The 14,891-nt window shown below is 39.0% G+C and overlaps 1 protein-coding gene across 9 annotated transcripts in view, besides 1 other annotated feature; it reads left to right on the top strand.

The window, feature by feature from the left end:
- The window catches only part of MEIS2 (Meis homeobox 2), a 212,108-nt gene that overhangs the window by 71,579 nt on the left and 125,638 nt on the right, over positions 1 to 14,891 (top strand). The window lies entirely within an intron of this gene.
- Positions 9,551 to 9,845: an enhancer, noted in NCBI's record as "tiled region #4521; HepG2 Activating non-DNase unmatched - State 1:Tss, and K562 Activating DNase matched - State 5:Enh". NCBI's record gives its function as "activates a minimal TATA promoter and a strong SV40 promoter by Sharpr-MPRA in HepG2 and K562 cells {active_cell/tissue: HepG2 | K562}" and the evidence as "EXISTENCE:reporter gene assay evidence [ECO:0000049][PMID:27701403]".

Here is a 14,891-nt window from a genome sequence, read left to right as displayed (position 1 = left end):
GGCTCAAATGATGCAGTCAATTTGTAAACTGTAACGTGCTGCACAGATGTTAGGTATTCTGGTCTTCTGATTGTGTGCTTGGCTTTCTAGCTGCTTGAAGCCGCTCAGAGCTTATGTATCACCAAGGGTTAGAGATGTAGTGCTACCCACCTCTTTCATCCTGCACCCCCAATTTCTCCACTTGTCCATTTCCACAAATGTATCCCTGGAGACACTGTGATAATTTCTATCATTAGACATCTTTTAAGGATCTTGAATGGTTAATTGAACCAGTATTTCATGGACATTAGTTATTTCTGCTTGGAAATTAGGGCCTTCATGATTCTGAGACTGGTCTACATAATACAAATAGCTATGAGCCAAATTAATACCAAATAGGAAATGTTGACCTTAGTTATACAGTAAGAGATGGTCTTTCTCATATTCAGAGCTGCAAATGTTCACATGCATGCAAGTGAGTCTCCTAAGAAATACTTATGTGGAAATGCACATGCAGAACACACAGCTGAAAGTACCAGCAGAGAGAGCTTCCCACAAACATGCAGCATAGTGGGGCCGCCCCTAGCCTTAGCCTTTGCATTGTTTTCCTGCTTGCCAGGAGAAAACATCTGTGAATTATTTGAATGGAATCTTATACTAGAGATCGTCTGAACTGGTGTCATCTCTGTTTAATTTCAGGAAATGATGTCACAATGCATTAAATTACAATGCTGGGTGATTTATTTTCCCGTGGACATGCTGTCCTAAGCATTCCTCTTCTTTTGCAATGTTTCCAATTAACTGTAAGCTTGAGTGTTCTTCCTATTTCATAATGATTTTGAGGGGTGGGGATGGGAGATAGGGGTGGGCAGAAGGGTAATTTCAGAGGTTGCTGAGGTTCAGAGCTAATGGCACATCCGTCATGTCCTTATTGGGATGGGAGGGTGCTGAGTGCTGGGGCTGTGATCAGCAGTGGCAACCTGCAACAGTATTGGTTAGTTTTAAAGAATGTCTAAAAATGAAAGCCTGAGTGTTCTGATGCTAGCTGTCCAAAGAGCCACCAGATAATTTTAATAGTGACCTGCATACTGTAGCTTCTGCCTTTATCAAAGTTTCTCTTCACTCCCTTCTTCAGTAAAGAATAGAGGACATAAGTCAATTCTGTGTGCCATCTGTTGTCGTTTTTACAATTTCTCAAATTAAAGAGACAGGCCAAAAATTTAATGTCGTGTTGGATCCTAGAAGCTCCTCTAGAAGAGAGAAAATTGCAACTGAATTTACTTTGTCTCTCTTGAGGGGGAAAAATTGCATATTGCTATGTCATAACCTTTTACTTGTAGTCCCAATTTGGTGTTTTGAATTGGATTATGAGGGCTTCTGCATGGAAAGACTGATGTGTTTGGGATTCAGCAGCCTTTGTTCACATGGTTCTGAGTGACATTGTGGTAAAGTTGCCAGTACAGTGGTGGTGCAATGGCTTTTCATGGGGGTAATGAAATGCATAGTCTCCTCAATGCAAAAACATTTTAAGACGTTTCAAGATATTTCAAATTACATCAGACAATCCTGTTTAAAAAGAGGTTCACCTCAGATAGACTGAGAAACTTACCTCCCAGATTATGAGCTACTAACTGGCAGATACATTTTAAAAATAGGTAATTGATAGGCAGAACACAGAGTTTTTAGGGCAGCCAAACTGCTCTGGATGATACTACAATGGTGGATACGTGTCATTATACATTTGTCCAAACCCATAGAATGTACAACACCAAGAGTGATCCCTAATGGAAAGTATGGACTCTGGGTGATTATGATGTGTCAATGTAGGTTCATCAGTTGTGACAAATGTGCTACTCCGGTAGGGGGTGTTGATAATGGGGAGGCTATACATGTGTGGGGCCAGGGATTTATGGGAAATCTCTGTACCTTCCTCTCAGTTTTGCTTTGAGGAACCTAAAACTGATCTAAAAAAATAAAGTCTACTTAAAAAAAAAAGGAATTGAATGAAAAGATTGAAGAATGAAAGGCTTATTAAATTACCATCAAAAAGAAACCAAAATAATTATTAGCTCAAAGTTTAGCACCCAATTTCATAAAATATCACTCGAAGTATAATTGTTTAAAAATATGTTAAAGAATTCAAGGAGATGGGGAATTGAGGACCCTTGAATAAAGGAACATAGAAGGCATGTGCATATTGAATATTCAGCTATTTAAAAACTCCAAGAATAGAGTGCCATTAAATGCTATTTAGTGAAATCCCTGAATATTCATTCAGATCATAGGGAAAATTTCCATTTCTTCGTTCCACATGACCACAGTTTGCAAGTGTATTCCATGGAGAAGTGGAGTGATTGGGAATTACAGGGTAAGTTGACTGGGTTATGAGAATACTGACTGTCCCTCAGCTTTGCTGCAGGATAGGGTCATAAAGTGACCCTAACATTCAAGACTAATTTCGATTTTAGAAAGTGTTACTGCACAGATTTCAGAGGACTCCTGGAAATGTCCTGCCTTCTCCATGCTGTAGTCTGTTTTTGCAATTTGGAACAGATTATGAAGTGTAAAGATGATATCCAGCCCCATTTCTCCTGTTAAGAAATAGTGACTTAGGTAGGAAGCATTAGGGTGGTTGAATGGAGTTTGCCTTATTACATTTAGGTGCTGTGTGCCACTTTCTAAATTGATTGGCAGCAGTTGTTTACAGTATGCAGAATAATCACTGGCACCCTTTAAAGGTGTATTATCCTCTTAAAACATAATAGTAATGCCATTTTCATGCTTTTACATTTGCTATTCATATTCTGAACTGCCAAGTCCCAAATCTGCCAGAACAAATTTAAGTTGTTTTTATCTAATAGTGGATAAGTTGTCAAGTCACAATATAATGGCAGATAATTTTTCTTAAACTATAGTTTTACTTCTTGGTTATAATAGATAACATGAATATTTGTTGAATCTGACTTGATTGTCCACACACACAAAAATTACAACTCAAGAGATATTGTCATGGGATTCTGCGATGACAAGAAATGAAGAGAATATTATTATCTAGTTATTCTGAGCATTATAGAAAATTAACATGGGCCACTAATTAGTTTCCTTCCAGCCACCACTCTCCCCCCGCCAAATCTGCTGATATCTGGTTTGCCTGACATAGCCAGATAATGAAGATCTCCTCTTGTTAATCCCAGCATCAAATCTTGTTGCTGCTGTTAATTTAAATACCTCTGTTATCACATTATAATATAACTGTCTAGATTTTATTTGACTTCTTGCATCATTCTCCTGCAATCACAAATATTCCAGAATTAATTTTGTCTTGGAAATATTTGGCAATTCTATAATAATTTGGAAAAGTATATTCCCATGACTCAGGCCACACTAGAATTGGAAAATGGCTTTTTTCTTACCCAGAATACATGGTGTGATCCCATCGTACGCTGACAAAAAACAACCCAAGTGTACCGGGGTGGTGCTACACTAGTCTTTTAAAAAGAAAAAGGCTTTTATCAATAGAAAAGATGAATGCTAGATTATTCCCTGTAGATTTGGTGACACATTGGGACTCTCTTTAAAAGCAACCTTATTTTTTTTCCCCATGGTGAAAAGTTATAGGTTCTATTTCAGTGTTTCAAGATACCTGCAGGCAGCTCATGAGTTGCTATACTTGTTTTAAACCCTTCCTCACAGTGATTTTTTTTTTAAAGTAGTAAGAGAACATGGGAACATGGGGTCATTATTATTCAATTATAGGCTCAGTTTTTCTGTTAGTTTCTGTGAAGCCATAAATTTAGAACTGTGTAGCAAAATCTCATGGATTACCTGATGGCACTTTGATAAAAACCCCTCTTAGAGCTTAGACCTGAAGGTTTTATGTTTTCTAGTAAAACACTTAAATGTAATTAAATATGATCGTGTGAAAAGGCATTAGTTTTTAATATGACCTTTGTTGTCAGTCTGGAAATCCTCTAAAATTTTTGATTTTTTTTTTTTTTTTGCAGAGCAAGTTTGACAGAAAAATGATTTCATGCTCTTTGGTCCTTATGTACTTGTACCCGTTTGTCCATGGCTATTCCAAATACCCCCATGCTTATTTAAAATGTATATATAATCAGTTACATAAAAAGAGGTATGCTTAAATTCTCATGACTCTATGGTTGGACCTCTGTGGTTGGAGCAGACAATAGAAATGTCTGTAATTCATTTAAAAAAAAAAGTGACTTTCCTACCTTTAGATAGTGAGGACAATCTGTTAACTCTTTGTGTTGATAAAAGCAAACATTTCAGGGCACGGTGAAAGAAATCTCTACCATGTATAAGGTTATATATATACCAGAAGCAGTGGAGTTAGGACCAAATTAAGATTTGACCAGTGTCCTAGTCTTAGCACAGCCTTTTGCTCCCTGGATTATTTTGAGCAAGTTATTTAATTTATCTGAGTGCTCGTTTTCTTACCTCATTGTTTTGAGGGTTAGCTAAGATTAGAAATAGCCTTCTGAGAAGGACAAAATACTGTGCAAGTGTAAACTGGTGTCTATTAATGTTTTCATATAATCCATTGAAATAGTTTGCTCTGTCATAGCTCCATGAAACCTGAACTTGGATGTGAGTGACACACTCTTCAAAGACAAGTATTGCACTTGTTTCTTTTGCCCTAAGTCTGGAATGGGGATCAAATCCTACACATAGCACATGTGCAAGAGAAAGGCAAAAGACCTGACAGACCATTCATATGTGGCAGCATGAGTCAAAGTAACTTTTGGAATTTGTACACTCAAACTTAAGAGAAAGAACTGGAAGACTGCAAACTAACTTCACAATAAACGTATTGTCACTTGTGTTATTACAGCTTTGGAGCAAGCTGGTTGGGGCTTTGGGCATCTTTGTTCTTTGTTCCTAAACTCTTCATCCTGAGAATTAACTGTCCATCAGCATGCCATTTTTCATCCTGGTCAAGCTGGTGGAGAAGAATTGTTTTACATCTCTAAATGGCGATCTCATAGGCCCATTCCAAGGAAGGCAAAGTCTGGTACTAGACAGAATTGTCTCATTGCAGCAAGTGATAAGTGGAATTTTATTTTTCCCCTGAAGACAGTTTCAATCTGGATGCTTAATCAGGCTTTCTTTGATTCTACATACAGAGATTTCAGATGTTACAGCTCAGTTAGACGAAAGCACAGAATATGAATGGGAGAAGAGTGAGGAAAGCTTCTAAAGGTATATAGAGGCCTTAGGTTTAGACGCACCAGCCAGATATCCAGGTGGATGAACTTCTGTGGAAGCTGAAAATGGTGGCACTATAGTTTGAGAGTTGGAGCTAATCTTTGTAGAGGTAATACTTGAAACCATGGCACTGAATAAAGGTTAAAATAAGAGACAGTGCAGAGAGAGAACGGGGTTTGAGTCTTTTTGAAGACTATATGTGAAGAGGTGGAGAAAGAAAGTAGTGAGCAGAGATAAAGACATCAGACCAGTAGGAGCATAATCAGATCATGTGAAGAGGAAAGGAGTTTCAAAGTAGAGGAAGTGGATTCTGTAGAAAGATCAAGGACAGGACAGGCGCAGTGGCTCACACCTGTAATCCCAGCACTTTGGGAGGCCGAGGCGGGTGGATCACCTGACATCAGGAGTTCAAGACCAACCTGGCCAACATAGTGAAACTCCATCTCTACTAAAAATACAAAAATTAGCTGGGTGCCTATAATCCCAGCTAATCGGGAGGCTGAGGCCGGAGAATTGCTTGAACCCTGGGGGCGGAGGTTGCAGTGAGCTGAGTGCCACTGCACTCCAGCCTGGGCAACAAAACAAAACTCCATCAAAAAAAAAAAAAAAAAAAAAAGAGAGAGAAAAGGAGGCCAGTGAAGATGGGGACCAAAGCACACCTGGGAAGGTACTAAGAAACAAACATTTTGTAAAGATAGCAAGAAAGCTGAGGGAGGTCAGGAAAAAGCTTCTCTTCACTTATGACTAGGAACTGTGGCGAGGGTGATGGAGAGTGAATTAGGAAGGCACGGAAATGCAGACTTGGAGCAAAAAGGGCCGGGCTGAATGGACTCTCTCCACATCATCTCATCCTTTCTCAGGCAGTCTCAGCACCAAAGAGCAAGAGGGACTAAAGCAGACAACAGGAAAAACCTAAGGGTGAGATCAACAAGGGGAGGAGAGGGAAGATGTTAGAGCAGTTTTTGAAATGACAGACCAGTAAGTAAGAATTCCAATGAGATAATCTTTCCTGGGACAGAAAAATAATCCTACAGTTCATGTGAATAATAAAACAACTAAGAAAAGTCAAGATATTTTTGGAAAAGAAAAATGAGGGAGCTTGTGCACTGAGAATTACTAAAATGTATCATAAAGCTACATGACGTGGCACTGGCTGACACAATAGGCACAATGATCATTTGAACAAAATAGGAATTCACAAATCAACCCAAATATAGAAAGAAATTTACTAATTTTAAAGGCATCACTTCAAGTCAGTTGAGAAAAAAATCATCAGTAGTCTTCATCAAAATATACATTTAAGAGTTTTTTGAAGTAGACATGACTATTTCTCTTTCCTTCGTTTAATGAAATGTTTTGAGAGTAAAAGCAAAGGAATTATAAAGAAAAACTGTGATAGATTAAATTACATACATTTGAAAATTAAGAGCTTTTGAATGCCAAGAAAACAGCATATACAAAATAAAGAAAAACACTAAACTAGCAAAAATATGTAACATTATATAACAGGCAAAGGATTAGTGTCCCTAATAAATAAAGCATTGTACAAATCAGTAAGAAAAAAATTGAAGCAGGCTGGGCACAGTGGACCACGCCTGTAATCCCAGCACTTTGGGAGGCCGAGGAGGGTGTATCACGAGGTCAAGAGTTCAAGACCAGCCTGGCCAAGATGGTGAAACCCCGTCTCTACTAAAAATACAAAAATTAGCCGGGTGTTCTGGCAGGCGCCTGTAGTCCCAGCTACTCGGGAGGCTGAGGCAGGAGAATTGCTTGAATTGCTTGAATTGCTCCCTCCTGGGAGACGAGGTTGCAGTGAGCTGAGCTTGCGCCACTGCACTCCAACCTGGGCGACAGAGCAAGACTCTGTCTCAAAAAAAAGAAAAAACAATGAAGTGAATAAAAAGTCAAAAGATGAATAGGTCCATTCACAAAAGCTGAAATACAAATGACTGGTAAGCATTTAAAAAATGTTCAGCATTGGCCTGGTGTGGTGGCTCATGCCTGTAATCCCAGCACTTTGGGAGACAGAGGTGGGAGGATCTCTTGAGTTCAGGATTTCAAGACCAGCCTGGGGAACATAGTGACACTCCATCTCTACAAAAAAATAAAAATAAGTTAAATAAATTAGCTGGGTGTGCTGGTGTGCACCTTTAGTTCCAGCCACTTGTGAGGCCAAGGTTGGGACCAAATAAATTTAAAAATCAACAACAAGAGATTTTTATTTGGTGGAAACTGAGAATAAAAAATTATAATATCTGGCACTGTCCAGGGTAGAAGGAAATATCTAACTTAATAATGACTATAAAAGTTGACATGGTCTTTCTGGAATATAAACTAGTAATATGTGTTAAAAAAAGAAAACAACTAAAAATTTTCTCTTCTTTGATCTAGTAATTCCATTTCTAGGAGTTTGTCATGAAGAAATAATTCTAAAAGTACACAAAAATTATGCAAAATTATGTATAAAGATATTTATTATAATAAAAAATTGAAAGTCACCTATATTCTCAAATGTAGGAGATATGGAATGTTATGGAGCGTTATGGACTACTGTGTAACCATTAAAAATTATATTCCAAAAGTATTTTGAGATAAGGGGAAATCTCTATGTGTTGCTAGGCAAAGTAAACCGGGTAAGGCAGTATTTATGATATAATTTTAATTTTATTAGAGAAAATATATATGGACATATGCACAGAACATATGAATGATTATCCTTGGGTAGGGAGATCTAGGTGACATTTTTACTTTTTATATTAGAAAGTTTCTATGTAATGTGTATTGCATTGATAATACAGAATAATAAATTTTATTTTAATAAAGAACCATGTTGGCTAAGGGGGAGAAATAAAGTGTGGTAACACACTGGGAACACTGGAAACCCACCAAGGGGTTGCAAGTCCAGGTGCAGAATAAGAGAGAGAAACAGAGAAGCAGAGAAAGAACATTTTTAGGTTTGTAATCTTGGAGGTGCAACATCTCTGTTTGATGAATTTTCTGCTGATAAAGTAGAGATGGATAACATTGGAAATGAGACAGGCAAGATATTAGACAGGCCTTTGTCATACATATTGGAGTTTTCAAAAGTAGGGGCAAGCCATGGGATGGAGAACTTTCTAGCATGTACATAAGTCGTAGGGGAAAGAGGGAGTGGCTTAAAAGTCAACATTCTTCTCTCAACAACTGTGAAGAGGAAAGAAAGCAAATGCTGTGAGCTTCATGAGAAAAGTGGCTGGAAAGTCTTAGGTAGGGGCTGGGAGCAGGCAATAAGGGAAGAAAGGGAAGAGAGAACAGTCTAGTTTCTTGTCCTTAATTCCAGAGGTACTGGTAAGGAGGAAAAATGAATAATTTTAGTAGAAGAGTATATTAGTTAGCTAGGGCTGCCATAACAAAATACCATAGCCTGGGTGGCTTAAACAACAGACATTTATTTTCTCACAGTTCTGGAGGCTGGAAAGTCCAAGAGCCAGGTGCAGCAGGGTTATTGTTGGGTGAGGGCTCTCTCCTGGTTTGCAGACAGCCACCTTCTCCCTGTCCCTGCATAACATTTCCTCTGACTTCATTTAACCTTAATTACCTCCTAAAAGCCCTATCTCCAAATAGGTATCATATGGAGGCTGGGGTTTCAACACACAAAATTTGGGAGGACTTAATTCAGTTCAGAGCAGAGTTTTTAGCTTAACAATATTTTAGGACAAACATAAGTTTAAAAAAAAATCAAGGATATGGAATTATGTGTATGGAAAAGTTCAAAGGTTTATGGGTTTTTTTTTCCCCCATAACACAGCCAGTGAGGATGAGGGCAACGAGGCAAGTTAATTTAGGTTGTGGTGAGATTAAAAAAAAAAAAAAAGACCAGAATGCCAAGAGTAATGCCATTAGGATTACAGGTCTTTGCTAGACCCAGGCACTAATAAAGCTCTCTAAAATACTATCTTATCTTGGAGTAGAGAACCTGAGATAAAGATCCCTCAAATGTTTCCTCAAAGCACCTGGATGGAGGCAGGAAAGAGGAGCAAAGAAGGCGTGGGGAGGACTATTCGGTTGGCTAAAATAAGCCACAAATTGAGTTCTTATTTTGATTATGTGTAAGGTTTGTTTGATCTAGCTGCTTTTCCTTAGAGTTCAGTTTTACATATGCTTCGGCGCCCAACCAGCTTGTGTATTTTCAGGATTTTTTTCCTCTCTTTCTTTTCCTTCTTTGGTTGGGTTTTAGATCAGGGAGGGTAAGGACTGAGGGAAGCGAGGTCAGCAGACGAGACTCATTTCCCGGTTTGTCAGACTGTGCTCTTGACCCCTCCTCAGGACCTGTGATTAATACACGCTTTGTAGAGGAGACTTGGCAAACCCCGCTCTCCACAGGACCCGATTCATAATTCACAGCGAGCAGGAGGAGCAGGGTCTTTGTGGTGGCTTGTTGGCTCTTTGCTGCACAAAAAGCAATGCCTTCTGACCTTCGCTGTTATCTAATCAGGAAGTAGACAGTCCTGGCGTGTAGCTGAGTCCTCGTAGGGCTCTCTACAACTGTAAATTATGTTCGAGCTCCCCGGATCTGGGGCATGCCACACTTTACATTACTATTGTGTATCTTAAAATAAACAGCATCGCAAGCTGTTTATTTTGGTGTTACTATGTATGCAATTTTAAAACAGTGGTTACTTAAACAAATGTCTCTGTTCCCACAGCACTTGAAAGCCAGTGCTTGCTCCTGTGGTTTTGGATTTTGTCACTTCTGTTTGGATTATATTTGAAATCCACACTGTGAGCAGTTGGAATGAACCTGGCAGCACCTAAGACCAGGGCCTGCTGTTGGGCCCTGCGTTTCACCATGTGCAGCTCTCTTCCTCCCCACACTATGCTCTCCCTACCCTCTACGGGCCATATGCATGTGCACAAACCAGATATTTTGCTTTCTCTTTGGGGCTCTAAATTTATCCCCATGAGTGATCTAGAGAGTCATTTACTTTAAGTTCCTGAATGCTTTGCAATTTAATTGAAGAAGTGGTGTCGTCATGATTCTATAGCAAAATACTACTCCCAAATACTCATTTAAATTGTCATCTGTGCACTACAGATACAATGCATATTCCATTGACATAGCTTGGTGAAGATGAATGAGAAAGCACAGGGGTGGTAGACAAAAAGAATGTAAAAATATCAAAGTTTTGACAGTGACTTGCCCCATGACCTTCAGTTCTTATGCCTCTTCTACACAAGGGGTGAAACAGAAAGGTAGAAATTCTTAGTAGCTCATGCAATACTTGTGCTCAGATCGACTTTGGTTTGATTCACAGGAGGCTACTTACTAGTGCTGTTTATTTGGATGAGTTATTTAACATCTTTAACTCTTCATCTGTAAAATGGGTCAGATTGTCAGGGTGGGGTGGAACTGAAAAAAATAGAATATGTAAAACAGTCTATCTCTCTTGAACAAGGTTGGTACTCAATAATTACTTTTTCTCTTCTCATTCCAACCCTCACCCCATGACATAAATTATAGCTGCGGGTGGTCTGGGACTAGTCCTCTTGGCTTGAAGCTGGAGTTAATGTAGTGTGGGACCATCAATGACCGACCTGGCCTGCTGGGTGATGTTTGGGACTGTCATTACCCAGAGTATGTTTAACCATTAGCGATGGGGCCACAGCACTCCAGACTTCTCCATTCCCTGGCCTGTTTTTAAGGAGAGAAGCAGAGGCTAATTGGAAGTTTTGTATTATGTGTGCCTTACCCCCTGCCATTAGTGGAGTTATCAAATTATAATCATCTTTCCATCTTGATGTCATGAGTTTCTTCTGTTGTACTGGTACATTATAAGGGAATTTTTTCTTTTATTTGCTTGTTTATGAATGAATGGGTAGAAATCTACTTGGATTCTTAGGTATTTCAAGAAGTCTAAATTCTAGTGGTAAAATTCATTGCCTTTAATACTCGGACTCCAAATCAGCTTACACAATAATAATTTTTGTTCTCATAACTCAGTTATATAAATGAAATAATTTGTTTTGCATGTATAGATACTATTTACATTTTCCACAAAAACCAACACTACTTTAAAAATTGTATATTATAAGCCTGATAGATTGAAGTTGCATAATATAATAAATCTAAAACATTGATGAGATGATGTGGGTCTTACTGGCTAGATTGCCACGTTTCTCCTTCTTCTGAAGCACATGCGCAAGGTCCTATGCTGTAAAGAAGTGAAGACATTCCTTGGATCATTTAGATGCCGGCAAGGTCCAGTAATTGTTTCTTATTGCTCTCTATGATTCCATGAAGATTAACATGTAAAATATTTTGAGCATATGGATTTTTTATTCCACATATAAAGAAAATATTCAGTGATCATAGAGTGACTGAAAGCTTGGATGGAGCTTCAATATCTCTTATTAGCTGAGCTGTCTTGCACAAGTTATTTAACTTGTTAACAGTCTCCATTTCTTATCTTTGTAAAATAGGGATAATGATAATACTTCCTCCTAGGGTTGTTAGGATGGACAAAGGAGATAATGATGGGCCAGGCACTTACCACATTGCCTGCATTAAATACTGGGGGAGGTTGGCTCTTAATCACTATGTTGGCCCTTTAAGGGGACAAATACTTTTAAATTTCCCTAATAATTTGGAAGGTAAAATAAATTCAAAATTTTTGGTGTCATTGTTTCACCTCTGTCCTAAACACCATAGAATCCCATTTTGCTTGACGGAACACAAAAGAGGGGTGTGAGATAGAAATAAATGAAGGAATAAAAAGAGGACTTGTACTGTTGCTAGGTGATCTCCATTTTCACTCAGAGTGAGAGTGCATCCTGTCCTCCTTCCCTGCTGTGGTTGGTCTATCTCTTAGTTAGCGGTATTTTTCTTTTTTTAGTCTGCTTATTACCTTTCTCATAATGAGATATAATCAGGCACTTTTTTGTGTGTGAGGCCGGTTCTTGCTCTGTTGCCTAGGCTGGAGTGCAGTGGCACCATCATAGCTCGCTGCACTTCTGGGCTCAAGCGATCTTTGCACCTCAGCCTTCCAAGTAGCTGGGACTACAGGCATGACCCACCATACCCAGTTCACTTCTAAATGTTTTACTCTTAGTAGAGACAGGGTCTTGCTGTGTTGGCCAGGCTGGTCTCGAATCCCTGGGCTCAAGCGGATCCTCTGACTTCAGCCTCCCAAAGTGCAGGGATTACAGGGATGAGCCACCAACCCCGCCCACACTCTGTGTAGACGATTATTCTTTCTCCACAATTATAGCCATTTCGTCTCCTTTACCATGTTCTCTTTGACTTTCTGGTTTGACTGCATTTTCATTCTTCCTCATTTTTTTAACCTCCTATGTGTCACTCGTGTTTGATGTTCAAACAATTTTATTATTTTCTATCGGTTTGCGTCATCAGAAACAGGTCAAAATCCTTATTACAAAGAGATTGGAGGGGAATGTACTTTTTTGCCCTAATAAAACTAGATGGCATAGTGACAAGTGTGTGTTTGTTAAAAAGCAGTTAGCACAAATTAGAAATACTTCACAGCAGATGTGTTTTGTGAAAGGATATGCTAAAAAATTAAACAGAGAATACTTTCCGGTTATAATTTTAGAAAAATATTGTGCAATGAAGCAAATTTACAATTCACTTAAATCAACCTTTTTATAGAGTGTGTGCCTTCACGATAAAATTTTGACAATTCTGCAATTTGTTTCAGTGTTTCATTGAGGGGGTGGAAATCCATCTGCTAGTTATTTTGGGGGACACCATTGCATCAATAAAATGATTCCTAAGCTGTACACAGACTTCATTTTAAATTAATGTGTAGCTGTTTTATAATGTGTAGCTGTTTTAAGTATAAGTGACTTAGTTAAAGGCAAAAGTTCCTATTATATGCATAATAGTAGGAATTTCTTTTTTCTTTCTGTCAAACACAATCCCAGGGTACTCTACTCTCTAAGAACATCTTGGGCCCTGGGTTCTGGCAGACGTTTCTTATTCTTACTTCACTGATCCCTTTTCGAGCTGCTGGAGGGACTTTTTTTTAAGTTGCTACCGTTGATACAGTTGCTATTAATCACCGTCTGCCATGTTGTGACGCAGGTTTAATAACATCTCATTGAGTGGCTCTCGCAAACTGGAGGCTTACCAACAGCACTAGCCTTTGATATTCGACTCACACCAGGAAAAAGAAAATGTAGAGTTAAAAAAAAAAAACACTGCAAATAGAAAAAAGAACAAAAACTGGAGAAAACAGAGTGAAATCAAAAACAGATAGCTTTCTGTGTGCAGCTTAGTTTGCCATGGGAGCAGTGAAGCTATAAATCTCAGCAGTGTTGTTTGAAAACTGAACATGAGGCTGCTAAATTTATCATTCATTCTTTGTTGTTTCAGGGAGGGGAAGAGCTAGCTGACTTGGCTAACTTTGGATTCTGCCCCCTCCCATCAGTAACGTTTCATTTTTCTCCAAATAAAATCAAAATTTGTTTTTTCCTGGATCAAAGAATACTGGGTGATTTTTACCAATGGTTGGGGAAAGAAGGGGGAAAGGAGGACTGGCTTTGAGTCATCCATGTGCTGTGGGAGTGTGTGATTTCTTCCACTTCATAAATGTGGGGACAGGATGGTTTTCTTTCGTTATAGAAAGAAAGGATATACACATCTCCTACTATATACTTTAAAAATCCATATGTAGAATGTAAAAGCATGGAGAAAGTTCACCACCACGAGGATATCTAGAGCCTCGTGAAGCTGCAAAATTCCCTCCTTTTGTTTGCACTGGTGCTCTATGTTGCACTGCACAGGGGGAAAAAAAAGGTAGAAAGCAAGCCTGCTACAGATGTGACTAGCTATGAATATTCATGAGTGCCATTGCTCCTCCTTTCCTAGAGCATCCAGGCCTTTCTGATCTTCCTCTTGCACAGCTCCCAGATGCTCCCCCTGCCACCCACCCCACACTTCCCCCACCTCAAATCTGCCCTCCCTGACCAACCCTGGAACAAGACTGCAGTTTATTTCGATAACATCCTGGCATGATACAGTGATCGGTGGCCTTAGAAGTGTGTTTGTGTGTGTGTGTGCATGTGTGTGTGTGTGGATATACTCCTGCACCAAAACAAAGGGGGAAAAGAAAAAAAATGTAATTATCTACAGTTTTATGAATTCAACTCCCCTTAATGTTCATTATTTAAACCAGCAGCAATTACAAGTTCAAAGGGGTTTAGAGGGCCAGCAACCCGCATAATCACTGCCAAATTAAGCGGGACTCATTCGTCACAGGAGAGTACACCCTGAGCAGTGAATCATGCATGCCGTGACAGGCTCTGATTTACATAAAGCAGAAATCTGTGCCCTCTGGGGCTGCACGTTACTTCTTCTCAGTAGCCCTGTGATACGTGAATTTTCTTTTGGTATTAGGAAGCTGATACTGCCTCCGACATGGCATAGCGTTCCGCTAAATATTGACAATAGCTTTTCACTTTAGTGTATACTTGAGCTCAAGTCACATGTTGGGCCACAATGTCAGTGCAATTCTGATTCTGGGAAAGAAAAGAATTTGTTTCCCCTAAAGTTTCTGAATTAAGTACTTTTATGATTAAAAAGAATGAGAGTTTGGTGGTACAGTTGTGTTTCCTTTTATCCCAATCTGTTCAGGTCCATAGTTAAAAATCTATGGTGCTGATAAGGAGCAAAAAAAAAAAAAAACCCT

This window comes from Homo sapiens, chromosome 15 (genome assembly GCF_000001405.40).
Source record: "Homo sapiens chromosome 15, GRCh38.p14 Primary Assembly".
NCBI lineage: Eukaryota > Metazoa > Chordata > Mammalia > Primates > Hominidae > Homo > Homo sapiens.
The sequence above is the reverse complement of the archived record's forward strand: the minus strand, read 5'-3'. Positions and strand labels throughout refer to the sequence as shown.